The sequence below is a fragment of the Homo sapiens genome, chromosome 5 (genome assembly GCF_000001405.40).
Source record: "Homo sapiens chromosome 5, GRCh38.p14 Primary Assembly".
Lineage (NCBI taxonomy): Eukaryota > Metazoa > Chordata > Mammalia > Primates > Hominidae > Homo > Homo sapiens.
This window is the reverse complement of record NC_000005.10, coordinates 150126136-150152329: the sequence shown is the minus strand read 5'-3', so window position 1 is coordinate 150152329 and position 26194 is coordinate 150126136. Positions and strand designations below refer to the sequence as shown.

Below are 26194 nucleotides of genomic sequence, written 5' to 3'. Positions count from 1 at the left end.
TCTACTTCAATTGTGCTTTACATCTGTTACCTCAAAGTTGCTGCTGTATTCCTCAGCACTTGGAACATGCTGGGCATTCAGGACATTCTTAGTAAATATTTACTGGATTAATTTAACCATCGAGGCTGGGCACGGTGGCTCACACATGTAATCCCAGCACTTTGGGAGGCCGAGGCGGGTGGATCACCCGAGGTCTGGAGTTTGAGACCAGCCTGGCCAACATGGTGAAACCCTGTCTCTACTAAAAATACAAAAATTAGCCAGACGTGGTGGTGCGCACCTGTATCCCAGCTACTCAGGAGGCTGAGGCACTAGAATTGCTTGAATCCAGGAGGCGGAGATTGCAGTGAGCCTAAGCGACAGGGCAAGACTGTCTCAAAAAAAATAAATAAATAAATAAATAAACCGTCACAGCAACCTCAAAATTAGATATATAAACTCTCCCCACTTTTTTTTTTTTTTTTTTTTGAGATGGAGTCTCACTCTGTTGCCCAGGCTGGAGTGCAATGGTATGATCTTGGCTCACCGCAACCTCCGCTTCCCAAGCTCAAGTGATTCTCCTGCCTCAGCCTCCCAAGTAGCTGGGATTACAGGCGTGTGCGCCACCATGCCCAGCTAATTTTTATATTTTTAGTACAGATGGGGTTTCACCGTGTTGGCCAGGCTGGTCTCGAACTACCTGACCTCAAGTGATCCGCCTGCCTCAGACTCCCAAAGTGCTGGGATTACAGGCGTGAGCCACCGCACCCAGCTAAACTCTCCCCATTTTACAGGTGAGAAAGTGCGCAGAGTCAGTTGCCTAAAGTCCCACAGCTCGGAAGTGGCGGAGCTGGGATTTGCACCTGGGTGTTTCTGACTCCAGATCCCCTTGATGAGAGGCTGGATGGGGCCTGGGATGCCCCTGGGGATCCAGTGTAAACCCTGAGAATGTGCCTCAGCTGTGGGGGCCCTCAGCATTCCAGAGGTAGTCATCAGACCCTAGAACCCTATGGGACTGTGCACAGATCGTTCCCTTCTGGGGCCTCAGTTTTCCCATCAGTCAAACGAGGAGGTTGACCCAGATGATGGTAAATCTTTCTTCCAGCCCTAAAACAATTTCAGGATTCCAAGCCATGCCAGCCCAGATTGGCAGCTGCACAAGCCTTGCTGTGTACTCAGGGATCATGCATATTTAATTTCACAATGAAAGGGTTTTTTTCTTACCCTTTTTCTACACATTACAGAAAGAGGTCAGGATCGATGACCACTAATGGAAAACTTTAACCTGCAATAACAATGAGGAACTTTCTGACAATTAGTGTGGCCCCTTAACGTGCTCAGTTTCTTGAGGAGCTCAGAGGGCTCCTACAGTTCCCACATGCCCATTTTCCTGAGATACTGAGCAGGGAGGGTCGGGGAGGAAGGCCCACTAGGGGCTGTGTGTGGATGCTGTAACCCTTTAGGTCTCTTCCAGTGCTGCGTTTTCAAACCTCATATGCTCTAATTTCAAGAGGAAGCAAGGCTTTGGCCCAGATGAGTGATGGGATCCAGAGGTGAGGGGGGGAATGGACACAGGGACCTACCTCTGGTGGGAGTGGGTGTGAAATTCCCATGCTTGTTGCTTCCAGTGTGGAAGCCCACTTCACATCCCTCCTGAGCCCTCAGGCCCAGATCCTCAGGATAAAGTCTTCCTGAACCTCCAAGCCTTAGCCCCAGAGCCCACCCTGCCCCCGCCCCCTACATCCACCAGATGCTTCCTGGGGTAGCCCACCCCCAGCCTGGTGCAGGAGGCTGAAAATCAAAGTGTACTGCTTTAACCGCATTAAAATCCCCTCCTCTCCTCAATTCAGATCAGGGCTATTTGATGTCTCAGGTGCCTGAAACCTTTTATCTGCCAGAGGTACCAGCTTCTCCGCCCTGTGATGGAGAGGGCTGTCCCTTGGGAGGGTCAGGGGGTCTGAAAGTTCCTGAATGTCAGAGATGAAAAGGACTTTTGGGGGTCACCTGATCCAACTGCTTTATTGTATGGATGGGAACTAAGGTCCAGAGAGGGGAAGGGTTGCACCTAAGGTCCGTACAGATCATTGGTGATGACGCTGAGCCTGGGACCTGGGCTCGCCTTTGTTCCACCACAGGTGCTGGGTCTTTACCATCTCTCTGAAGGCCTGGAGAGACCCAGCTCCACCTCTGTGGTTCAGGGCTCAGCCTCCAGGTCTGTCTGGGCTATGGGCTGAAAAGGAGCAAAGCCGTCCCAACAAGAAATGGGAATCTTCCTGGGTGGTTTGCTGGACCCCCGAGCTTTTGGCCATACCACTTCTTCATTCTAATCATAGTTTCCTCTTATAATAAAGTGGGGAGAAGCCAAGGGAGAAGTTTAGTGGCCCCCAGAGGTCCATCCAGCTCTGCCCTTAGCCCCTGAGAGTTCCTACCATGCTTCTTGTGACTGTTTTGCCACATCCTCATTGCTGCTGCTCTGTTACCTTCCCTTCTGAGAAGTGGAAACCCAAGGGCAGTGACACCACCAGCTTCTTCACTTCTGAGGCTGAGCCTCAGTGGTTATAGGGTGGGGCAGGGTTTCCAGTTAGCCTTAGAGGGGTAGGGCTCAGCTTTCTAAACATGTCACAGAAGCCCTGGCCCCTCCTGGCCCAGAGCATTGAAGGTAAAGGTGCAGGTTTGACCTGGTGGACTGTGGGTGGCTCCCATCTCACCTGTATTTGTGTCCTTATCAGTGTCCAACCCAGGGCCTATCTGCTGAATGGATAGTGAAATAATCACTAGATAAATAAATGCATGTAGAGATGCATAAATGGATTGGTGGGTGGGTGGATGGATGGATGGATGGATGGATAAATCGATGGAGACAGACAGATGGCCTCCCCTTTAGTCCAGGGCACAGAGATGGCTTCATGAGTACTCATCCTCCTGAGGGCCCCATGCTTAGAAGGGCCTATGTTTGGTTTAATGCTCTGCAGTCATCATTTTGAAATTGTTAATAATTTTTAACAAAGAGCCCTGCATTTCCATTTTGTGCTTGCCCCACAAATTATGTAGCTTGTCCTGCCAGGGAGTTCAGGCTGAGTTTGGGACGGCTTCATCCCCAACACTGGCCTTGCAGCCTCCACTGTCCCCATCCTAATCCACAGCCTCCCACTAAATGCCAGCCTGCTGGTGTCATCCTCCTGCATGGAGGCCCCCTCCCCACAGTGCCTGGAGTTACAGCATTGCCCTGCCAAGCCAGCAGCTACTACCCGCCATCACTATCAACACCTTGAAAAGTTGGTGGTCCAGAGAAAATCCTCACACAGCACCGCAGACCTTTCCTGAAGTCTCCCTGCCTCCTTCCCTGGCCTCCTGCTGCCTCCTTCCCAGGCCATCACCTACCTGTTTGCTGAAGAGCCCCAGTTTCTAGCCCAACAGATCTCTCCCTGCCATTTCTCCCAGATGCCTTTCATCTCTCACAGAGCCCTGGCCATACCTTTCCCTGGCATCATCTGCCAAAAAACTCAAGAAACCCTGGAGGCCTAGCTCAAGGCCACCTCCCTCAGGAAGCCATACCCGCTCTCCCCACTGGAGTAATCATATACTGTTGTTAGTCACCATTTACTGGGCACCTATGATGTGCCAAGTGCTGTGCGTCATCATCTCTGGCCCTCCCAGAAATGGAAAAGGAGGTCTCCCATGCCATTTCCCAGGAAATTGGGACTCAGATAAGTTAAACTCAGAGAACTGGGGCTTGGACCCAGGAATAAGTGGCTTCCAGCTGGAACCACTGCTCCCAGCCTGGCGGGGCTCCCATCCCTGCCCTGGATGGCATCAGGCGCAGCCTGTTGGCTTCAGAGTGCCATATGTCTGTTCTGCCCTCACCAGCTCATCTCCATCACCTCCCTGGAAGGAAAGAGTCACCATTGCCTATCCATGCCAGTTCCCTAGCCTAGTGAATCCTGTGTTATTAGGAGGCAGCCGAGGGCCCAGGACTGAAGAGCTGACCCTACAGAGCCATTTAATCTCTCATATCGTGTAAGCGTTTACTGAGCACCTACTGTAGGCCTAATTCCATATTAGGAAGTTGAAGAGAGTCCAGATCGTTGTTAGGTAGGTATCCTGATTTGTGGGAAGTCATATTAAAGGACTAAGACAAAAGTTCAGGAAAGAAGTAATTGACAGACAGTGGTGATTAGATGGGTCTGGCCTTAGGTTGGCCACCGAATCGCCGAGTGTGCTAGGATGAGACACTCCTCACTGAGCCTCAGGACACTGAAAAGGGCTGTTGCTACTGATTGTACCAATAATCAGCAGCTACCTCTTCCTGAGGAGCGTCTTTTGGGAGAGGCCTTCTTGCACCGTCTCATTTATCACATGCATCACTTTGCTGAGAAGCCTAGTCCCGTGGAGTCTTGGCTGTGCGCGCAAGGCCGAGTGAGTGAGTGACTTCTTCTCCCTTGAGTGAATGAATAATAATAATGTGGCCACCAACTTTGCAGAGGGCTGTGTGCCAGGCCCTATTCTAAGCATTTTGCTTGTGTTAACTCCTTCAATAGCCCTGACAACCCAGTGATGAGCCCCAATCTACAGATGAGAAAACTGAGGCACAGAGGGGTGGTTAAGTGAATGACCGAAGACAGGGGTGGGAGGACAGATGCTGAGACAGTGAGAGGGTCAGTGAAACATGGGGGTTCTCTGCCCTCCTGCTCTGCCGCCCAGGAGGGCTCTGAGGGGAATCTCAATGTTTGGTAATTGGCACTGATAAGTGAAGGGTTTACTCATTAGCTAGCTACCCCTCCCCTATTTGCAGGCCCTGGGCCTGTGGGGGAAGGCTGTGTGCTGGTGGGTCAGTGTGAATGGCCCAAGGCCTGCCTGTCCCCTGCCCACTTGGCTCTGAGAACCCATTCTATTTGCGGCCCCCACCCCAGCCCATGGCTGCTCCGGGCTGGCAGCAGCCCGGGGAACAGAAGGTTTGCTTGTCTGCGCCTGCCGCACCCCCCTCCTCAGTCTCAGCCTGGGACCCCTCTCAGGGGCTCCTTTGGCTGCCAAGGGCCTGGCACTCCCTGTTGCCATGGCACCGGCCGGAGATGAGGCTCTGGGGGGTGGGGATGGGGAGGGCAGCAGCAGGATGGTGGAGGCCTGGAACTCTGCAGCTACAGAGGCCCTGGCCCTCTGCAAACAGTGGAAGGGGGTGCTGGGGCCCCCACAGGGGCAGGCCTGGACCCTGTGCACAGCAGGCCTGTGGCAGAGCCGGCCACACACCTGGGCTGATTGCCTGGATGCTGTATCCCGCAGGAGCACTGCCCCTGCCAGACCCTGGCTTTCCTAAGCAAAAACTCTCTCCTCAGCCTTGTGTGCTCACCCTCAGCCTCTGCAGCGAAATTGTGGAGTTCTATCCCTAGTCCTGGGTTCTATCCCTAGCTCGACTTTAAAATTATTGGTGACCCGGGGCAGGCCTCCCGCATACACTGCCCCTCAGTCAGAGCAGAGGCGGGACCCAGATCCCTGAGGATCTTCTCATCCCTGAGATCCTGGATTCCGTATGGACGCCATTAGAGGGAGAACGTTTCTCTGTGGACAGATGGACAGAACTGTTTCTGGTCAGGAGACAGACAGTCTGGCATGACGGGCAAGAATTCAGGTTTTGGCAGTTGTGGTGATGCGCACCTGTAGTCCCAGCTACTCAGGAGGCTGAGGCGGGAGGATCACTTGAGCCCAGGAGTTTGAGGCTATAGTGAGCTGTGAGCTATGATCATGCCACCACACCACTGTACTCCAGCGTGGGCAACAGAGCGAGACCCTGTCTCTAAAAAAAAGAAAGAATATAGGCTTTGGAGTCAGGCCGGCCTGAGTTTGCATTCCCGTTCCTTTGCATCTTACTTATTGTGTGACCTTGGGAAAGTTACCAAAAGTCTCTGAGACTCATCATTCTCCTCTGTAAAATGGGAATAATGAGTGTACCCCCCTCACAGGGTGGTCGTGAGGATGAAACAAAATCTCCAGATCATCTCATTTAGCAGAGTGCCTGGCTCTAAATTAGTAGGGACTTTTGTTTGTTTCCAGATTGGGGGGGATCAGAACAATAACTAGAAAGATGTCCTGTATTTGGGGAGAGGGTGGTTGGTGGATAGAAGCAAGACCAATAAGCAGAGAATACAGTGAGATAAACTGTACTCAGTGTAATTAACAATTCTCAATAGTCTGCCCTCTGAAGATTCTAAGCTGGCTAAGAATGAAATGGGCCACAGGTGAGGTGGTGAGAGCCCTGTCATGGGAGGTGTGCAATTGCAGAGAAGGTGGGGGAGATGTGAATAGAGGGAATGTACTAAGACTGTAGGGCTCTGTGAAAAATGGAGTGACTGTTTCCCACTCAAACTGTCAGCTTCAGCTTTACCCAGCTCAAAAGACAGCGTGAAAGAGTGAAAGGAGAAGTTGGGACAAAGAAGGCGAAAAGATAAGGCTGACGACTTTATTTTTTAATTTATTTTTTTGAGACGGAGTTTCACTCTTGTTGCCCAGGCTGGAGTGCAGTGGCGCGATCTCGGGTTCAAGCAATTCTCCTGACTCAGCCTCCCGAGAAGCTGGGATTACAGGCTCCCTCCACCACGCCTGGCTAATTAACTTTTATTTTTTTTTATTTGAGCTTGTTCTGTGCCAGGTACTGGGCTGTCCTTTTTGCGGGGCTCCTTATCTTTGCCTCCTGCCACAGAGGGGCTGTCTCATGGGCATTGGGCTGTGTGCTCTGGAGCCTGTCTGCCCAGTATTAAACACTGGAGACACCACTGGCAAGCTTTTGGGCAAACAATGTAAACAGTCTGTGCCTCAGTTTCCACATCTGTAAAATGAGGAAGCAGTACTGATGTCATGGGATTGTTCTGAGGACTTGGTGAGATCATTCATATAAGGAGCTTAGCATAGATAGTGGGTGATAAGTACAGCAGACCCTTGAACAATGAGGGGGCTGGGGACAGCCACCAACTGCAAAGTTGAAAATTCATGTATAGCTTTTGACTCCCCAAAAACTTAACTGCTAATAGCCAGCCTACTGTGGGCCTTACTGATAATGTAAAGTCAATTAACACATATTTTGTCTGTTATGTATATTATATACTATGTTCTTACAATAAAGTAAGCTAGATGAAAGAAAATCACAAGGAAGAGAAAATACATTCAGTTTATATTAAGTGGAAGTAGATCACTGAAAAAGTCTTCACCCTTGTCTGCACGTTAAGTAGACTGGGAAGGAGGAGGAAGAGGAAGGGTTGGCCTTGCTTTCAGGGGTGGCAGAGGCGGAAGAGGTGGAGGAGTGGAAGGGTGGGAAGGAGGTGGATGTTTCACATGTGTGGAACATTCACGTGTTAGTGGACCTGCACAGTTCAAACCTGTGTAGTTCAAGGGTCAACTGTACTAAATCAGAGGTAGCTATTATTATTATTGTTATTTTTAAGGCTGTTGGAGGCCCAGATGGGGCCGGGGTGGGTGGGGGGACTCAGGGCCAGGAATCCACAGGGCCCTGGGGGTAACCCTCAAGGCACCGCAGGAGGCAGGAAGTGCTTGCTCTGCAGCCGGTGGGCAGGGGTGTGCAGCAGGCCTCCCTCCCTCACTGACCTCCTTCTCAGGCTGCTTCCCAGCCTTCCTGGGGACCCAGGCCCCCTCCCTTGGGCCCCCAGCAGCCGTGAGGCACACACTGAGCGCTTTCCCACGCACTGTTCCAAGTAGCCAGCCGCATCGCTGCCCCCACCCCCAAGCACAGGCACTCTGACGGGTGAGGGGGTGTTTGCTGCAGGAGAGCGGGGCTCGGGCTGGGGAGATCAGCCCGTTCTTTATCAGCCTGGCCCCATTCCAGACAGATGTTTCATCTTATTTTGGACTTCCAGAAAATAGGTCATTTCTTTCCATTGTGTTCCCTGGGGAGGCCTCATGGGGAGAGGAGCATGCAGTGAGTGACGAGTGTGAGGGCCTGGCTTGGGCCCTGGGGAGCTGGAGGGGCAGCCGCCTTCCTCCCTCAGTTGTGAGGGAGCTGTCAGGGCCGGGCCGGAAGATTCTGAAAGGCTGGGCAGAGAAGCCAGCCTTTGCCTGAGGGGGATGGAGAGCAGAGGAGGGCCGGAGAGGTCACATAGGTATTTCAGAAAGGTCCCTCTGGCTGGGGTGTGAGAACAGGTGGAGGGGACAGATTGGAGGTGAGGAGATTGGCGGTGGGATAGCCAGAGGCAGCCGAGCCTGTGCTGGAGGAGGGGGTGCAGGGGGCTTAGCAGCCTTCCAGGGAACCAGCGCTATTCTTCCATCCAGTTTGGACTTCCAGAGCAGCGGGAGCACACGCCAGGCCCCATCTTAGTCGATTTCTGCTGCTTTGTTCAGGGGACTTTGTAGGTACCTGGAGAAACATAAAGAGGACCCCGGGCCTAGAAGCAGCGTGGCACAGAGAATGGCTCCAACACCGAGTGGGCTGCGCCGGGCTGCTCTCTTTCTGTAGCCCTTAGAGTGATCCCGAGGCTGGTGGGGAGGTTCGTGGTGCAGGGGTGGAGCACTGAGCCTTCTCCAACAACTGGAAGTGGAGCGAGCATAGGATTGAAGGGGGCGGGTGGGAGCCTCGGCCACTTCCCCAGTTTCTCCCCTCCACCTGTAACTGTCTCCTCACCCTCCGATCCTGCTCTCTTCTCTGGCTCCCAGGATGGGGCTCCCTGATCACATGACCCAATCACACCCACATCTCAGCCTGCTTGGGGACAGCCACATGGACCAGACTTGCCGCCAGGCCCAGGCTGTGCTGCTATCCCTTTCCTACTCTTTAGCTGCTGGCGGGAGGACTTCATCCCTGGCTCCAGATGCCTCTTGCCCCCACAGACTCCCAGGCCTGGAACTGGCAGCCTTCTCTGAGCTGAGTCATGACATGGGTCCCTCCCCAGCACCCCCACCCCGAGCCCAGCATTCCAGCTCAGCACAGCTGCCTTCCCAGAGTGGAGCCCTGAGGGCCACAGCATGTCAGCCCTGAAAGTGCTCCCAAGACACTCTTGCCCACCCTTTTGCACAGATAAGGAAACTGAGGCTCAGAGAGGGTCAGGACTGTACAGTAGTCACCCTTAGCTGCAGTTTCACTTTCTGAAGTTTCAGTTACCCCAGATCAACTGTGGTCCAAAAACATTAAATGGAAAATTCCAGAAATAAACAACTTACAAGCTTTAAATTTTGTGCTGTTCTGAGTAGTGTGATGAAATCTTGCACTGTCCTGTCTGTCCCGCCCAGGAGTGAATCATCCCTTTGTCCATATACGCTACCCACCTGTTAGTCATCAACAAAGTCCACTACTGACATCCAGCCATCAACACCATCATGGCTCGGTGGTCCAGGATCACTTGGAGCAGATGACCTGATCCTTCTGATAATGTCTGGAGGTCAGTAGTAGCCTAACGCTACTTCACAATTCTTACGCCATCACCTCACTTCCTCTTATCACGTAGGCACCGTGTCATTCCACGTCTTCACAAGAAGAGTGAACGATACAGTAAGATATTTTAAGAGAGAGAACACAGTCACATGACTTTTATTACAGTATATTTTTATCATTGTTCTATTTTATTATTATTGTTGTTCATCTCTTACTGTGCCTTATTTATAAATAAAACTTTATAATAGGTATGTATTTGCAGGGAAAAGAACATAGTATGTATGGGGTTTGGTTTTATCCAAAGTTTCAGGCATCTACTGGGGCCTTGGAATGTATTCCCTGCAGATAGGGGGGACCACTATCCTATAAGTGGGTGTCACAGCCGGGACTAGAGCCAGGTCTTCTTACTTCCCACCCCAACCCCCCTCCAAAGTCTGTCCCAGGCCTGTAAAGTGCCCCGGTACGGAGAACAGAAGACTGGACTGGGTCAGGAGACTGGAGTCTGTGGCTCACTTCTCCCAACAACTTAGCAAATTACCTCCTCTGAGTCTCAGTCGCCAATCCCTGCCTGGCTGGGCTCGTGCAGAGAATGTGACTTTGAAACAAAGGTCAATGTGTGGCAGGACAGAGGTGTGCTGTGGAGAGGGCAGGGGCAGCTATAGCCTGAAGCCTGGGGCCTTGAGCCACCAGCCTCACATCTTAGCAGGGGCTGGAGGCGGGGAGCTGCGCAGCCAGGTGAGCTTCAGCCCCACCGATCACCCGAGCCCATCTTGTCTAGGCCAAAACAATGGGCCCTCTTGCTTTCCTTCCCTAAGCCTCAGTTTCCCCACGAGCACAATGGAGCACAGGAAGGCAGTTAGATCAGATAGATGATCCCTGAGGGCTCTGGCGTGCTGACATTCCAAGACTCTGACCCCATAACCCCATGGCCAGGCCTCCTCCTCCCTCAGGCATTTGGTTTATTCAGAGCATCCCAGGCCTGAGACTGCCTGCCCCCAGCACCCCCCTCTCCCTGCAGCATGGCCCTCTCTCTCTCATCTCACTGCTGTTTCTACCCGGCCTGTTCCTGGCCTCCAGACTGAACATCCCACTGTCCCCTCAGTGCCCACAGACCCTCCCTATCCTAAACCTGCTCAGTTGCAGCTCTCACTCCTGCTCTTTGACCTCATTCTCATCTCAGAAAATGGCATCGTCCCCTCAGCACGTGCGCGTGTACACACACACACACATACACTTCTGCCTCCCAGTATTCCAAGCCAGATACAGAGGTGCATACCTCCCTCTCCAGCCCCTCAATATTAAGTCACCCAGTCCTGTTGATTCTCAGCTAAGTAACTCTCAAATCCATCTGTTTTTTTCAGTCCCCACTGCCTTCTCCCCAGACCCAACCAAACATGCACGTTGGTCAGAGAAGCGGTGGAGCTGGTGGCATAGAACACAGAGTCACACCACTTCACTTTAATCTCTGCTCTACCCCTTCTGGCTCTGTGTTCCTAGCCCAGTTATTAAATGCTCTCTGCCTCAGTTTCCCCACTGTAAAATGGAAATGATCACTGTATCTACCTCATAGAGTTGATGGAGAATCAAGTGAGCCAATACGTGCCAAATGCTCAGAATGGTTCCTGGTGCAGTAACACGGGCTTTCTGGCTTGTCTGTTCATGCATATGGCTGTGTGTTCAGGTGAATTTGGGGTTCTATGTGCACATGTTCTGTGCATGTTGTATGTGCTGCATACACATGTGAACTGTTGCACACGGGTGCATCTCCACGGGTGCTGGGCACAGTGGGAGCTGCGCACATGTGTTTTGTGTGGGTGTGTACATGTTTAGTACCTGCATGAGGGCTTGGCACCCACATGGCCTCTTGCATACGTATGTGTTTCAGAGGAGTGTGCGAGGAAGTGCGTAGGCAGGCATCTGTGCATCTGTGCTGTGTGTATGTGCTGACCATGTGCAGGCTCCCCCCATCAACCCCCGCAGCAATGCAGGGCCCCCTCCCTGGCCTGCCTGTGTCGTGGGAGCCTCAGGACCCTGAGGGAGGGAAGCTGTTGCTGGCGGATGTGGCCAAGATGGGCTGGATTTATTTAGATTAAGGCGGTGGGAAAGGAGTGGAGAATTGTACGTGCTGGGAGGAGGGAAGTCTGGGGCTCTGAGAATGACTCCCCAAGCATGCTTGCTCTCCTGGACTTGGGGCACCCACTCCTCTCCCCTGGACTTGGGGTCCTTACTCTGCTCCTTTGACTTGGGGTCCCCACTCTGCTTCCTTTTGACTTGGAGTTCCCAGTCTGCTCCCCTGGACTTGGGGTCCTTACTCCGCTCCCCTAGACTTGGGGCCCCCCACTCCTCTCCCCTGAACTTGGGGTTCCACTCTGTGCCCCGGACTTGGGGTCCTCACTCTGCTCCCCTAAGGGGTCCCTCTGAGTCACGTGAGGAGCTGGGCATGATCTCCACTTTGGGCCTCTGAGCCTACAACCTGGCCAGAATAGGAGGAATCAGGAGGGGTTCCTGGCACATAGCACTCTCTTCATGGGCAAAAGGGGGACACCTAGGGGTGCCCTCCCTCTCTCTGCTCTAGAGGCCTCCCTGGGCAGGAGAGTACAGCAGATAGGGGGAGTGCCTGCTCTCTGACTGTGACATCCAGCTTGTCCTAGGTGGCCCTTCCCTAGAGTACAGTCCTCCTAAAGAGGGGAAGTTGTCACAGGCAAGCCCACTACCACCAAGTCAGCTGCCTGGGCCTCCCTGGGATTGGCTGGAACCAGAACAGCCTCTGGGAAGCACAAAGAGGCCTAACACATTTGGTGGAAAATGTGGGGTATCAGGGAGTCATCCAGGATGGCCTGGGAAGTCATGTCTGGGTGCCCTAAGCCCTTCTCTGCCCTCCCTGGCCCTCCAGCCTCTTGTCCCTACCACTCTTTCCTTGCCACCTCCTGGGGTTCCACGTCACCAGCGGAAAGTCCCCTGAAACACTGTTGAAACACTGTTGTCTAACTTTTTTTTTTTTTTTTGAGACAGAGTCTCACTCTGTCACCAGGCTGGAGTGTAGTGGCGTGATCTCAGCTCACTGCAACCTCCGCCTCCTGGGTTCAAGCGATTCTCCTGCCTCGGCCTCCTGAGTAGCTGGGACTACAGGCACTTGCCACCATGTCCAGCTAATTTTTGTATTTTTAGTAGAGACGGGGTTTCACCATGTTGGCTAGGTTGGTCTCGATCTCTCAACCTCGTGATCCGCCTGGCTCGGCCTCCCAAAGTGCTGGGATTACAGGCATGAGCCACCATGCCCAGCCTTGGTCTAACTCTTAATTGTATAGATGGGGAAACTGAGGCCCAGAGAGGGAAACAACTTGTCAAAGCCCGCACAGCAAGTCTGTGGCTGAATAGTCATGGAAATTCCTTTCGTGGAATGAGATGGCTGGTGGATTCTTATGTGACTCTAGCCTCAGGAATGTAGCCCCCTCCTGCTTACTAGCCCCCACCTCCTCAAAACACCCCGGTAAGATTCGTGGTGACTAGAATCTTCTCTTTGGCCTGTCAGAAAGGCAGAGCTTCACCATAGGGACAGCTCTTTGAGATGACACCTGCCAACCTCTCTATATGGATGGGGACGCAGAGTTCAGAGAGGCTGGAGACTCGCTCAGTCTCACAGTGGGTCCCAGGGTGCTTATGAGGGGAGCTGATTGCTCTATTCATAGTAAAGCCAGTCCGAGATCCCTGGGGTGCCTACAACCTCCCTACGGCATCCACACTGCCTGCCTGTCCTCTCCCCACAGCTTGAATCTGCCTTTTTGCTGTGTGACTGGGGCATGCTTCTGTCCTTCTCTGGGCCTCTGCTGCCCATTCAAAAAGCATACCTCCTAGCTCAGAGTCTCTAAGCCACCCCCAGCCCCAGGCCCAGCAGAAGAGAGCCTGAAGGGGAGAGGATGGAGTGCCACATGGGAGGAGGGTCGGGGGCTGCATGCCATGAAGGCCCAGCCCACATAGCCAGCCCAGCCTTCCAGAGCCAGGCCAGCCCCGCTGCAGTGACCTCCCTTCTCCTGGCCAGCCGGCCAAATTCCTCCTTTAGAATAATAAACAGTGTGGCCAGCCAGGGAGACTGGGAGAGGAGGGGCAGGGAAGCTGAAGTGACCCCCTCCCCCAGCCTCTGCTAATGATTTTCTTTGGCTGAGATCTCTAGCAGGAAGGGGGCAGCCAGAGGGGCACCGACGGAGGGGCAGATGGGCCTCTGTGGGGGCTGCTGGCTCCGCCTTGGCGCTGCTCCCTCCTGACCAAGGAGGCCTGGCATCCAGCTGGAGGGGCTGGGGCAGAGGAATGGTGGGGAGCAGAGGCTGGAGGGGGCGTCAGAAGGGCTGGGCTTTGAGTCAGGAGCAGTTCAGAGAGGGGAGAGGAAGAAACGAGGAGACCTTCAGGCAGGCAGTCTGAAAGGGAGGAGGGAGGAGAAGAGCTGATTTGCTCAGACTGTTTCTTGGGGTGTTGGGAAGAGCTAAGATTGGGGGTCCATAGGCGGGAGGAGCCTTGCCTATGTCCCACCCCTGACATGTGAATGCAGCCCTGGTAGGTGAGGTACTCACCATCATCCACTTCCAGAGCTGGGGACTTAGGCCACAGGGAGAGCGATGGCACAAGAGGTGGCATGCTGGGGCCTGAACCCGGTCTGCAGACCTAAACTGAAAACTAAAAGGGGTGAGATGGGGAGGTAGGGGCAAGCTGGGCATGGCCTTCAGAGGCAGGCCAGGCTGGGCAGCCCCACAGCCAGAGGAGGCTCCTTGTTGCCTCATCATGCCGTCACCTCCCAAAGCTCATGCTCTGCGACCCCTGTCCTCTGGCGTCCTTCCTGCCAATGCTGCAGGCAGACTCTTGGCATACTTGGCTCCTGGTGGTCTCTTGGGACCTGAGGTGTGTCTTCCAAGATAGAGGAGAGCAAGGGCCACCCCATTCAGTCTGTCTCTGTCTTTGTCCTTGCTTCTGTCTCTGTCTTTGTCCTTGCTTCTGTCTCTGTCTTTGTCCTTGCTTCTGTCTCTGTCTTTGTCCTTGCTTCTGTCTCTTAGTGCCTCTGGTGCTGTCTCTCTGGGCACCTCCTCTCTGTCTCTGTGTCTTTGTCTCTTTCTACTTCTATCATTCCAGGTCTCTTTCTCTCTGTCTCCCTCTCAGACAGGCTCTGCTGTGGAATCTTGGGTAAACTTCTCACCTTCTCAGAGCCTCAGTTTCCCCATCTGCACCCTGGGGGTGGGGGTGGGGGGAGCCTGGCTTCACTGGTCTCCAAGGACCTGTGAGGCCTGGCTGCTCGATGGGACCTCTCCTGGGCCCAGCCCCTAGCCGCTGTCCCCTGGGCCTCCCTGTATGCTCTGGGCTGAGTAAAGGTGTCCAGGCCCACCTCCCACATTCCACAGCCCCGGCTCCCCGGCTTCCCTTCCCACAGCCCACAGCCTCCTCCATTTCCTGTTGTGCTTGTGGAGCTGCGGGAGTTCTCTGGGTTCTGGCCTCCCCCCTCCTCCTCCCATCCCTTTCATCACACTTTCCCAAATATTTGTCCTGGCAGATAAGAGCCTGGTATTGGAACTGTCACCCGGAGGACAGGCTGTCAGAGCTGGTAGGCTACTGGATACCATCCAGCCCAACTTCCCCTCCCTCACTGTACAGACAGGGAAACTAAGGCACAGAGAGAGTCTGGGGACGCAGCCGAGGCCACGTGAGAGTCACAAGCAGAGCCAAAGCAAAGGCCAGGACCCCAAGGCTAAGTCCGGGATGGAGAGGAGACAGCCTGTGGTCATGAGTGCCCTTTCAGGCTTGGGACGTGGTGGCTTTTGACTTCAGCCCCTCGGACATGAAGGCTGGGTGGCCCAAGCTGGGGCTCATTCTGCAGGAGCCAGGTGGTGAGATAGCCCCTGTCGCTGCCTCCACCTGCCCTGGGCCCTGACTCCTGTTTAACTCTGCAGGACACCATGCGGCTTCCGGGTGCGATGCCAGCTCTGGCCCTCAAAGGTGGGTAGATGGGAGATAAGGTAGGGGACCCGGGGGGCTGCGGAGTGGAACCCTGGAGCTGGCAGGGGTGATGTGTGCTGGTGGCAGGGCGTGAAGCACCAGGCACACTGCCCTGCCCTTCAGCTTTAGTTTTCAGGATTTCCAGTGGGCTCTGTGGAGGCCTCCAGCTGCCAGCCCTTCAGCTCAGAAAGCGTCAGTGGGCCCCTGCTTGTCCAGAACCATCAGCTCAAATCCTTTGATTGGCCCTCCAGACCCCATCCCACCTTCTGGCCCACACCCCTGGCCTCCTATCCTCGGTCTGGTGGATCTGTGGCACTCGGCTTGGACCCCTCATTGGCTGGGAGCTTCCAGGTCCCTGCTGGGCTTCTCAGCACACCCCACCCCTCACTCCTGCCCGTTAACATGTCTTCAGCTCTGCAGGGGCTGAGCGACTGACCCAGCAATTAATGACCAGCCAGCAGCCTGCCCGGCAGCTGGCCATAAGATGGACTGGCTGCCTGACCGCCCACCTCCCCTCCTGATCTGTATCACCAGGGGGCATGGAGGGCGTGGCCTGAAAAATCCTTCTCCAGGGGATGTCGTGGAGGGGGACCAATCACTTGACACACACACACCCCCAACCCCAGTTCCCTCCAGCCCAAAAGGGCCTCAGCATCTTTTCTGGCCCCCCTCTGAGCTACCTAAGCCCCTCCCTCCCATCTCTCTCCCACCCAGAGCCACCTCTGGGCCTTGGGCAGAACCTGGGCAGTCGGGGGAGGGGGCAGAGAGCTGTAGGGAAGAGGCTCAGAAAGTGACCTGGGAAGCAATGCAGGAACTGGAGGCCAGGGAATTGCTTCCCGAGGATTTCCTGGCCCCTTCTGGTGCCTACTGCCTACACATGGCACTGCTGAAGGACTCAGAGGCTGGGGTCTAACGGGACTGACAGAGGCAGTCCAGAGGAATCCCTGGGGCCTTGGAGCTGGGCGAGCGGTCCTCAGAGCCATGGCTGGAGAGCCCCAGTCTGTCGGATAAAGGAGCTGTGCTCCTCAAGGACCTGAGGGCTGTGCATACGTGGCCTCCTCGCAGGCTCAGCCTTGGGAGAGGTGCTGAAGCCCCTGTTTCCTGATGTCTGATACCTCCTCTCCCAAAGGCGAGCTGCTGTTGCTGTCTCTCCTGTTACTTCTGGAACCACAGATCTCTCAGGGCCTGGTCGTCACACCCCCGGGGCCAGAGCTTGTCCTCAATGTCTCCAGCACCTTCGTTCTGACCTGCTCGGGTTCAGCTCCGGTGGTGTGGGAACGGATGTCCCAGGAGCCCCCACAGGAAATGGCCAAGGCCCAGGATGGCACCTTCTCCAGCGTGCTCACACTGACCAACCTCACTGGGCTAGACACGGGAGAATACTTTTGCACCCACAATGACTCCCGTGGACTGGAGACCGATGAGCGGAAACGGCTCTACATCTTTGTGCCAGGTAAGGGCTCCCAGCCTGTGTGCCCACTCCTTACCCCTCTTGTCAACTGGAGGCATCAGGGGAAGTCCAGAGAGTGCTTTAGTTTATTGTGAAATGCAGCCATCCTAGAAAAGCAGACAATCATGGAACCAGCCTGGCTCAGTCGGGGAGTGTGTTCGCACCCACTCCTTGGTCTGGGTGATCTGCCTGCTCCCTGCCAGTCACCCTATTCCTGCCTCCCAAGAACTCTATATTCTCAGCTGCTTCCAATCTGCTCCCTCTTGACCCCACATCCCTTCTTCCCCATTCTCCAAGCTCCAGATATCAGCTGCATTTCAACTTGTGACTTGCCTTCTTTCTTACCCTGGCACTGTCAATATCAAACATTAGAGCTGGAAGGGACCAGCTCTAACATTTGATTTATGCTCTTCTGGGAGCATCCCTATTCTGTAACGGGGAGACAGAGGGCCAGAGATGGCAAATGACTTGCCACACAGCAATTCAGGGGATGGCCAGAAACCCAGTTCCCCTGATTTATTCACGGCTCCACTCCTGGCAGATCCCACCGTGGGCTTCCTCCCTAATGATGCCGAGGAACTATTCATCTTTCTCACGGAAATAACTGAGATCACCATTCCATGCCGAGTAACAGACCCACAGCTGGTGGTGACACTGCACGAGAAGAAAGGGGACGTTGCACTGCCTGTCCCCTATGATCACCAACGTGGCTTTTCTGGTATCTTTGAGGACAGAAGCTACATCTGCAAAACCACCATTGGGGACAGGGAGGTGGATTCTGATGCCTACTATGTCTACAGACTCCAGGGTGAGCCCCCTTTCTGGCCTGATGCTCAGCAGAGGCAAGTATAACCCTCCACAGAGGAATAGCCCTTTACAGTTTACAAAGTGTGGGACTCCACTTCCCAGTGGATTCTCACCACAGCCTTCGAAGGAAGATAGTGTTTTCCCCATGTTACAGAAGAGGGAAACTCAGGCGCAGAGAGAGGATGGAGCTTGTCCCCTGTCGCAGAATTCGATAGTGGCAGAGCTGGCCTGTGCAACATGGTCGGTGAGGGCACAAGCTTCAGAGCCAGCTGGGTCGAAATCCCAGCTTTGCTATTTCCTGTCTGAGTGACTTTACACAAAGCACATAATCTCTCTGAGCCTGCTTCCCCTCTTGTAACGTGGGGATAACAATGGCTGCCTACCTCATAGGATCAATTGTGAAGATTAAATAAAAGATGGAGAGTACCTGGCACATGTTATGTGCTCAATACATTTCTCCTGTACATAGATCTCCAGAGGGTACTTTGATTTCCAGACTGTTATCCCTTCTAGAACGTCAGCTCCATAAGAACAGAGATTTTGTCCACTTTGTTCACTACTGTTGCTCCAGTGTCCAGAATAGTACTTGGCATGTAGTAGGTATTCAGTAAATATTTGTTGAATGAATGAATCTTCTACATCAGTCATCCTTTCCCTCTCTAGCCCCCTACCCTATCCCCAAGCTGAAGTGCTAGTGGCTGGTGGTGACTTCCCCAGACCTAAGCCAATCTCTCTCTACCAGTGTCATCCATCAACGTCTCTGTGAACGCAGTGCAGACTGTGGTCCGCCAGGGTGAGAACATCACCCTCATGTGCATTGTGATCGGGAATGAGGTGGTCAACTTCGAGTGGACATACCCCCGCAAAGAAGTAATGTGGGGCCAGGCAGGGGTCGGAGGAGGGGCCAGGAACGGGTGGATATCTGGCTTGCAGGCTGATTTCTCCCCGGCCCCTCCTGATTTGGGGGGCCTGCCCAACCTGTTGCTGCAGAGTGGGCGGCTGGTGGAGCCGGTGACTGACTTCCTCTTGGATATGCCTTACCACATCCGCTCCATCCTGCACATCCCCAGTGCCGAGTTAGAAGACTCGGGGACCTACACCTGCAATGTGACGGAGAGTGTGAATGACCATCAGGATGAAAAGGCCATCAACATCACCGTGGTTGGTGTGTGCCTTGGGCTCAGCCCAATCCCCAATTCCTTCAACGCTCCCCACCCTCACCCACTTTGCTGGGTGCAGAGTGATGGTGAGAGTTGCATTTTTGATACAGTGATCAGGGCTGAGCTGGACCCAGTGCCTGTCACAGCCCCGGGGTATAGTCAGCCACACTCCAGTGCAGCCCTAGCTAGCCTCTGTGCCAACCAAAACCCCAATTCCAGGATAAACCCCAAACCAAAATGTAGTGTCAGCCCCAAATCCAACCCTATCTCAACCTAGACTTTCTGACTAGCCAGAGCCCCAGCCCCAACCTGACTTCCAAGCCCAACTGCCATCCCAGGTCCGGGAAGCCCCATCCCCAAATTCAACCTTATCACTAGTCCCAGCATCAGCCACAGTACTGACCCAGAACAGAGAACTGTTAGTACAACTCTGTTCCCAACCTGGGAGCTGGCCCCAGCATCCATATTAGCCCCAAATTCGGCCCCTTCTCCAGGCCCTGTCCCCAGCCCAATTTCAACCTCAGCTCCGGAAACTCCATGGCTGGCACGGTCCCCAGGCCTGAAGCCCCACCCCACAGGCTGGCCTCCTTTGGGATTCAGTTGGTGCCCTGCCCCCAGGGCCCCGCCCCTGACGGTCACCCCTTGCAGAGAGCGGCTACGTGCGGCTCCTGGGAGAGGTGGGCACACTACAATTTGCTGAGCTGCATCGGAGCCGGACACTGCAGGTAGTGTTCGAGGCCTACCCACCGCCCACTGTCCTGTGGTTCAAAGACAACCGCACCCTGGGCGACTCCAGCGCTGGCGAAATCGCCCTGTCCACGCGCAACGTGTCGGAGACCCGGTGAGCAGCTCGCTCTCCCATCCCATTCTTGAAGTTATTTTTCTTTGCAGCCGCCAGGCAGCCCTCGGCTTTCAGCCACAAACCTAGGCCCAGCTTTCTGAGAGCATATTAGGTGCCAGGTGCTGGGGATGCTGCAGCGACCAGAGCTGACAGTTCATCCCTCCTAGAGTTTCTAGTCTAGTGGAGGAAACAGTCGCCGGTCAGATGATCACCCAGATGTTTAGTTGTCCTTGTGATGGGTGGGGCCAGCAGTAGCAGCCAAGAAGTAAACGGGCAGATGACTGGGGAAGAGGGTGCCAGGCAGGCCACTCATGGCCTGTGGTATCCCTGAGGCTGGAGATTTGCTGGCTGACAGAGACTGTGGTAGGTTAGGATGGAGCAGTGTCCACCTTTCTGAAGGGGAGAGAAATAGGACTTTCCTTCAATGCTCCCCACCCCCACCCACAGTTCATCTCAACCCTCCCTCTTGGCCTAGGGGAACTGCCTGTGGGTGAGGATTTACGAGACCTGGTTTGAGTCCCGGCTCTGCTACCAATGCCGAGATGACCTTGGCAAGCCCTTCCCCTCCCTGGGCCTTGTTCCTCTTTATACCAGGAGGGTGGGGAGAACTGTAAGAGTCCTTCCGACTCTGACAGCTGCCTTTCCTGCTCCCCAGGTATGTGTCAGAGCTGACACTGGTTCGCGTGAAGGTGGCAGAGGCTGGCCACTACACCATGCGGGCCTTCCATGAGGATGCTGAGGTCCAGCTCTCCTTCCAGCTACAGATCAATGGTGATGAGCACGCCCCTCGCCATGTCCCTGCTCCTTCCCCTCCCTGCCCCCGTTCCCTCTCCCTTCCTGCACTGTCCACCCACCCATGGGAGGAGTGGGAGAGGGAGCCTGGAACTCAGGAGATGGATTCTAGGCCACTGACCCACTGCCGTGTGAACCTGGCCTCTGGGCCTCAGTTTCCCCAGCTGTATAAGGAGGCCATCTGGCTAGATTGGTGTTTCCAAAACTTCAGGCACTTAGGTACCAAGGCCATGATTTTCCCTTCTCACATTCCACTTATACTGTACTATTAACTCGATAGGTATTTATTGAGCAACTACCATATGCCTGTCTCTTCAAGGTTCTTGAACTTCCCTCCCTGCCTTTGTGCAGCTTGCATCCAAGTAGGGGAAGACAAACACTAACAGTAGGGAGGAAAACCCCAGCAAATTACATAGGTTAGAAGGTAACTAACACTGCGGGAGAGGAAAAACAGGGGCCGGGTAGGGAAGGTTGAGAGTGCTGGGCACAGAGTGATGGTGTGAGTTGCATTTTTGATACAGTGATCAGGGCTGAGGAAGTGACATTTGCATGAAGACCTGAAGAAGGTGAGGACATTAGCTTAGTGGATATTTGGGGAAAGGGTACCTCGGGCAGTGCAAAGGCCAGAGCAATCACTGAAAGGCTTGTGTGGTTGGAACAGGGCTGTTGGGGAGAGTGGTGGGAGATGAAGTCAGAACGGGGATAGGGCAGTGGGGGCTGGGAGAAGGGCAAATCGCATAGGTCTTTGTGGGCCTGGTGCAGACTTTGGCTTTTACTATGACCGAAATGAAGAGCCATGGCAGGGTTTTGAGCAGAGAAATGACATGATAATGACTTAATGTTTTGTTAATTGACTTTCTAAAAACAAATTTATTTTGAAAGACAAAATGTAACCTCTCTATTGTAGGTGGAAAATCGGCATCACATGTCATAAATATAAAGCAACCACTAAAATAAACTCAGAGAAGACCAAACAATGCTATTAAATGCTGGCTTCATGAGCTTGGTGGCCCAGGGTTCTGAGCTTGAGGCCTAGCCTCCCTTTGTTAAAAGGGAAGATTAGCAAGTCTCAGAGAGGTGTTAAAGACAGACTAGCACCCTGCTGAGGCGTTCCCTTTGAAGTACCCAGAAGGGAACCCATCGGTTTTCACACTGATTCCTGGTATTTAATGTTCACCTGCAGTCTACAGCCCTCCTCCCCCAAGAGAGTCTCTGGGCCAGGTCCTCCCCTGAGGACCTGTCCTGTTAACTGTCCTGACCCTCCCGCCTCCTAACTCAGTGCTCTCTCCATGCAGTCCCTGTCCGAGTGCTGGAGCTAAGTGAGAGCCACCCTGACAGTGGGGAACAGACAGTCCGCTGTCGTGGCCGGGGCATGCCCCAGCCGAACATCATCTGGTCTGCCTGCAGAGACCTCAAAAGGTGAGCAGACCTGGGCCTCAGTCTCCCAGTGTCCCCAGCTGGCTAGAAAAAGCTCGTGAAGGTTATCTAGTCCCGCCCGTTCTTCTTGGCATATTGTTCCGGGCATAGAGTTGCATCCTAGGAGGCCAGGTCACCACCTCCTTGGTCCTACTCTGTATGACCTAAATGGTCCCTTTTCCTTACCTTTACCCCTGGGCAGTTTGGCCTAGCAAAGTGCAGGGTCTGAGCCCCAGAGACCTCACCCGCCCTGTAGATCAGTTCTGCACTCCTGGCCAGGTCGATTCTAATGCAGTGGACAGAGGCAGGATTCAGTGCAGGTTCTGCCTCTACCCCATACGCCGTGTGACCCCGTGGGTCAAATAAGAATGGATTTTGCAATCCACGTTGTCAGTTCTGGGATGGGAGCACCCCCTGCTGACCAGTAGAGGGAGCACAGGAGGAGCCCGCTCGGAAACAGGCAGTGGGACATAGGAACTGGACACGTCCTGCCTCCTTCCACCAGTTTCTCCTCAGTTTCCCTGTCTGCAAGGGGAAGGGGCTGGCAGCCAACCCTACCGGCTCTCCTGGCAGGTGTCCACGTGAGCTGCCGCCCACGCTGCTGGGGAACAGTTCCGAAGAGGAGAGCCAGCTGGAGACTAACGTGACGTACTGGGAGGAGGAGCAGGAGTTTGAGGTGGTGAGCACACTGCGTCTGCAGCACGTGGATCGGCCACTGTCGGTGCGCTGCACGCTGCGCAACGCTGTGGGCCAGGACACGCAGGAGGTCATCGTGGTGCCACACTGTGAGTCCCCAGCCTCAGTGGCCCCTGACGATCCCAATCCCTACCTTAATCCTGCCTAATTGGTAATGTGCCCATGTACCCACAGCAGGCCAAAGGAGTTAGCATGCCCAGGGGCAAACAGGAGCATTGTGAAACCCTGTTGTGTACATGCATAGGAACACATTCTGGCAAACACAATATGGGTACACACGTGTACAAACACAAGTCTGTAAGCCATGGATATGAATATCCTTCAGTGTGGTGTACATATACTATATGTATGTCGTAAGCCATGTACATGAGCATGCCTGTTCCTTGAACATAGGTGCAAATCCTCTGTGTGTAGATATGTAAATCGTCTACTGAAGAATGCCCAATCTCCAGTCACTCCTGTAAAGCTAGAGTGTATGTGTATAAGCATACACCTGTGCACTATGCCTGTCCATGTATGTAAACCCACCACGTGTTTGTAAGCCATGTACATGAGCATGCCTAATTCCCAGACATCTGTTTAAACCCCACAGTGTATGTCTGTATGCATGTACCGGTGGGTACACAATTCCTGTACATGTGTACAAGCAATGCATGTACAATTCCTTTGCATGCATGCAAACTGGCATAGTGCATGTCTGTAAGCATATAATTGGAGCACACCTTTCTAGAAAAGTGTACAAGCATAATTCCCGTACACATGTGCCTGCTGTACAATGTACATCTGTTAGCAGGTACACATACACGTGTAATTTCTGTGCGTATGAACAATGCCTACCAGTGTCTTGATGCTTTTGTGTATCTAGCTGCCCGTCCTTATGCATACATGCACCTGTATGAGTGTGCTTCATTTATTCACCTTTCTTCTTCATTCGATAAATATGAGGACCCAACTTCTCATTGAAGTATAAAGGTCAAAGGGCTCAGCCCTGCCTGGACCTCCTAGTACCCATAGTCCAGAGAGAGAAGGCAGACAAGGAACTTGGCAATTCCCTCCGGGATCACCACATTAGGGGCAAAGCCTGGAGGGAGAAGGGGTCCCATGCCCAGCTATGGGATTCAGGAAAGTATTCTAGAAAAGGAACCTTTAGGTGAAAACCTGAAAAATGACTAGAAGTTAGCCTGGTAAGGAATGGTGTCCCACTCAGAGGGAATGGCCTGTGTAAAAGCCCAGAGGCAAAATGAGTTCCTAGAAATGAAAAGAGTTCAACTCAATCTGGCTGGAGGATCGAGTGTGTGGATACTTAGGGGCTGGAAGGGTGGCAGATAAAGGGGAAGGAAGTGCTATGGGATGGAGCTACAGGGGTCGGCAGATCTAGAGCAGGCAGGGCTCCAAAGGCCATGTGAGGCATCTTGGTCTCTGTGTATGCAGGTCCCTGGGCATGTTCAGGCACGTGCCTGTCTAGAGCTGCCTCCTGTCCCCTGCCCTGTGGTGGATGGGTGGGCTTCTTTCATCCCCTCATTTCACCCATGCTCCCACACATGCATACACATTCTCTGAGCAAGTGGGTATCTGGGCAGACAGTGTGGACAGCCTGAGTGGAAGACCAGCTCTGAGCCAAGGCAGATGTGACACTTTTGTGTGACTAAAGCCTGAGCGGGAAGCTGAGCACCAGCACACAGGGCCTAGGATGGCTGCAAGAGGGCTCCTTCATGCCTCCAGCGATGGCTGCCTAGAAGATGCAGGCTTCCTTCCCAGGACCGAGATGTGTGATGAGCGGGAGGAGGGAGGAGAAGAGGGATGTTGGTCTGGGACCCTGAGGAGGAAGGCATGGCGAGGATAGGTAAGGGTAAGGGAGAATGGATAAGGGGTGAGAGACGAAGTTGGAGAGGGAAGCAGAGGTAGAGTCATGAAGCCTCTGCCTTATGTGCCATTTTAGGAGTTTGGCCTTTTTCCTTTACTGATAACATGGGGAAGCATCCAAAGTTTTTTTTTTTTTTTTTTTTTTTTTTAAGATGGAGTCTGGCTCTGTTGCCCAGGCTGGAGTGCAGTGGTGTGATCTCGGCTCACTGCAAGCTCTGCCTCCCGGGTTCAAACAATTCTCCTGCCTCAGCCTCCCAAATAGCTGGGATGACAGCAGTCCACCACCACGCCCAGCTATTTTTTGTATTTTTAGTAGAAATGGGATTTCACCATATTGGCCAGGCCGGTCTTGAACTCCTGACCTCGTGATCCGCCCACCTTGGCCTCCCAAAGTGCTGGGATTACAGGCATGAGCCACTGCACCCAGCCTCCATCCAAAGATTTTAAGCATAACAATGGCATTCACTTAGTAATTCAACAAATAGTACCAGCTACCTACCATGTGCCAGGTGTGGTTTTAGGGACTGAGGTTATAGCAATGGATGGGGAGGAGGAGGTGGGACAGGACTCCCTAGGGAGCAAAGAAGCATAGATTGGGGACAGAAGAGGAGGGAATGAGTTCCATAGGACCTCATGGGTGGCCAGCAGGGCAGGGCAGGGGAGAGGCAGGTCTGGCGGGGCTGGATGAGGAGAGTGGGAAGCTGTACAGCGAAGAGGCTGAGGCCTTGAGGGTGGAGGAGACTCGAGGCTTGTAAGGGCCAGTGTGAGCCCCACTTTGTTAACTACCGTCACCACTCCAACCCCAACTGGGCCCTTTGGGTGAAGTGGGGAGAAGTGGCCTCCGTGCTGAGGTCTGGATTCATCAGGCTGGGGGTCTCAGCCATTGCTCCCTCAGTGGCCACTCACTCAGTCCACCGGCCACTCGGTCAGGCATGGAGCTTGGAGTCTGACCGAGCTGTGGCAGCCCCAGCAAGGGTGTGGACTCAGAGGAGAGGTAAGCCACAACCCAGCCCTCAGGGGCTCCAGGGCTAATGGGAGGTCCAGGCAATGGACAGGAACTCAGAACAGGATTTGCACCCCGTCCAGAGCTCTGGCAGCAAGGCCAGACTGACTGGCAGGGCTGAAGGGACGTGGAGGCCAGCAGTGATCTGAGTGGGGGTAGTTACTGAGGGGATGGAGTATTTACAGGACAGTCTGAACGTGTGGCCTAGAGCGAGATGCTGAGGGTCTGACACTGCAGGCTGATGGGGAGGTGGGCGCTTCTATTCTGGACAGGATGTGTACGGAGGGATCTATGATGCCAAAGATGGGGTGAGGGGAGGGTAGCTGCCCAGTTTGCTCATGGCCTGCTCTCATCTCTGCCTCCAGCCTTGCCCTTTAAGGTGGTGGTGATCTCAGCCATCCTGGCCCTGGTGGTGCTCACCATCATCTCCCTTATCATCCTCATCATGCTTTGGCAGAAGGTAAGCCCCTCCCTGGCCCAGTGGGTGAAGACTGGCACATCATTATTTTGCATAAATTCCACCCCTCTGCCCTCCTTGAATGCTGCGTGATCTGGCCACATGCAGGGCTCAGCATGGAACTCAGGTGGGGACTTGTGACGCTGGCTGTCTCAGCTTCCTCCACCCCCAGCAGTCTGGGCCAACCTGAGCCTGGCCCGAGCTATCCAGGATTCCCTTCCCCTACTGTGTCATTAAGTCCCCGGGTCCTGCTGAGACACCATTCCTCTCATCCTAGCCATGGAGCATGGGACCTTTGAGGTGGACTGCATGGGCTCCAGGATTCTTCCAGGTCTCACCCATGGAGAACCTGTGATTCTACTGAAATGCATTCTGATCCTATTAGTC

The 26194-nt window shown here is 53.9% G+C and overlaps 1 protein-coding gene across 3 annotated transcripts in view, besides 8 other annotated features; it reads left to right on the top strand.

Annotated features, from left to right (window-relative positions):
* PDGFRB (platelet derived growth factor receptor beta) overlaps positions 1-26194 on the top strand; it is a 42007-nt gene that overhangs the window by 3516 nt on the left and 12297 nt on the right. Inside the window, exons 2-11 of one of the 3 annotated variants that reach the window (NM_002609.4) lie at positions 15277-15322; positions 16452-16775; positions 17314-17580; positions 18322-18449; positions 18570-18744; positions 19388-19580; positions 20236-20351; positions 21668-21791; positions 22362-22573; positions 25716-25810. In NM_002609.4, coding sequence (NP_002600.1) covers positions 15283-15322; positions 16452-16775; positions 17314-17580; positions 18322-18449; positions 18570-18744; positions 19388-19580; positions 20236-20351; positions 21668-21791; positions 22362-22573; positions 25716-25810 — 1674 coding nt within the window. In that variant the 5' untranslated portion in view covers positions 15277-15282. Of the gene's footprint in view, positions 1-15276; positions 15323-16451; positions 16776-17313; positions 17615-18321; positions 18450-18569; positions 18745-19387; positions 19581-20235; positions 20352-21667; positions 21792-22361; positions 22574-25715; positions 25811-26194 lie in introns of all 3 variants that reach the window. The other 2 variants (NM_001355017.2, NM_001355016.2) reach the window with 2 other exon arrangements.
* Positions 5097-5623: an enhancer, noted in NCBI's record as "H3K27ac-H3K4me1 hESC enhancer chr5:149526270-149526796 (GRCh37/hg19 assembly coordinates)". NCBI's record gives its function as "activates a minimal SCP1, AML or CMV promoter by ChIP-STARR-seq in primed H9 embryonic stem cells {active_cell/tissue: H9 hESC(primed)}" and the evidence as "EXISTENCE:reporter gene assay evidence [ECO:0000049][PMID:30033119]".
* Positions 14229-14740: an enhancer, noted in NCBI's record as "H3K27ac-H3K4me1 hESC enhancer chr5:149517153-149517664 (GRCh37/hg19 assembly coordinates)". NCBI's record gives its function as "activates a minimal SCP1, AML or CMV promoter by ChIP-STARR-seq in naive H9 embryonic stem cells {active_cell/tissue: H9 hESC(naive)}" and the evidence as "EXISTENCE:reporter gene assay evidence [ECO:0000049][PMID:30033119]".
* Positions 15251-15762: an enhancer, noted in NCBI's record as "H3K27ac-H3K4me1 hESC enhancer chr5:149516131-149516642 (GRCh37/hg19 assembly coordinates)". NCBI's record gives its function as "activates a minimal SCP1, AML or CMV promoter by ChIP-STARR-seq in primed H9 embryonic stem cells {active_cell/tissue: H9 hESC(primed)}" and the evidence as "EXISTENCE:reporter gene assay evidence [ECO:0000049][PMID:30033119]".
* Positions 15763-16272: an enhancer, noted in NCBI's record as "H3K27ac-H3K4me1 hESC enhancer chr5:149515621-149516130 (GRCh37/hg19 assembly coordinates)". NCBI's record gives its function as "activates a minimal SCP1, AML or CMV promoter by ChIP-STARR-seq in naive and primed H9 embryonic stem cells {active_cell/tissue: H9 hESC(naive and primed)}" and the evidence as "EXISTENCE:reporter gene assay evidence [ECO:0000049][PMID:30033119]".
* Positions 16273-16784: an enhancer, noted in NCBI's record as "H3K4me1 hESC enhancer chr5:149515109-149515620 (GRCh37/hg19 assembly coordinates)". NCBI's record gives its function as "activates a minimal SCP1, AML or CMV promoter by ChIP-STARR-seq in naive H9 embryonic stem cells {active_cell/tissue: H9 hESC(naive)}" and the evidence as "EXISTENCE:reporter gene assay evidence [ECO:0000049][PMID:30033119]".
* Positions 19950-20119: an enhancer, noted in NCBI's record as "experimental_82275 CRE fragment used in MPRA reporter constructs". NCBI's record gives its function as "activates a minimal promoter by MPRAs in K562 erythroleukemia cells, with activity observed for both the introgressed and non-introgressed 5:149511859 variant alleles {active_cell/tissue: K562}" and the evidence as "EXISTENCE:reporter gene assay evidence [ECO:0000049][PMID:34662402]".
* Positions 21792-22402: an enhancer, noted in NCBI's record as "H3K27ac-H3K4me1 hESC enhancer chr5:149509491-149510101 (GRCh37/hg19 assembly coordinates)". NCBI's record gives its function as "activates a minimal SCP1, AML or CMV promoter by ChIP-STARR-seq in naive H9 embryonic stem cells {active_cell/tissue: H9 hESC(naive)}" and the evidence as "EXISTENCE:reporter gene assay evidence [ECO:0000049][PMID:30033119]".
* Positions 24039-24540: an enhancer, noted in NCBI's record as "H3K4me1 hESC enhancer chr5:149507353-149507854 (GRCh37/hg19 assembly coordinates)". NCBI's record gives its function as "activates a minimal SCP1, AML or CMV promoter by ChIP-STARR-seq in naive H9 embryonic stem cells {active_cell/tissue: H9 hESC(naive)}" and the evidence as "EXISTENCE:reporter gene assay evidence [ECO:0000049][PMID:30033119]".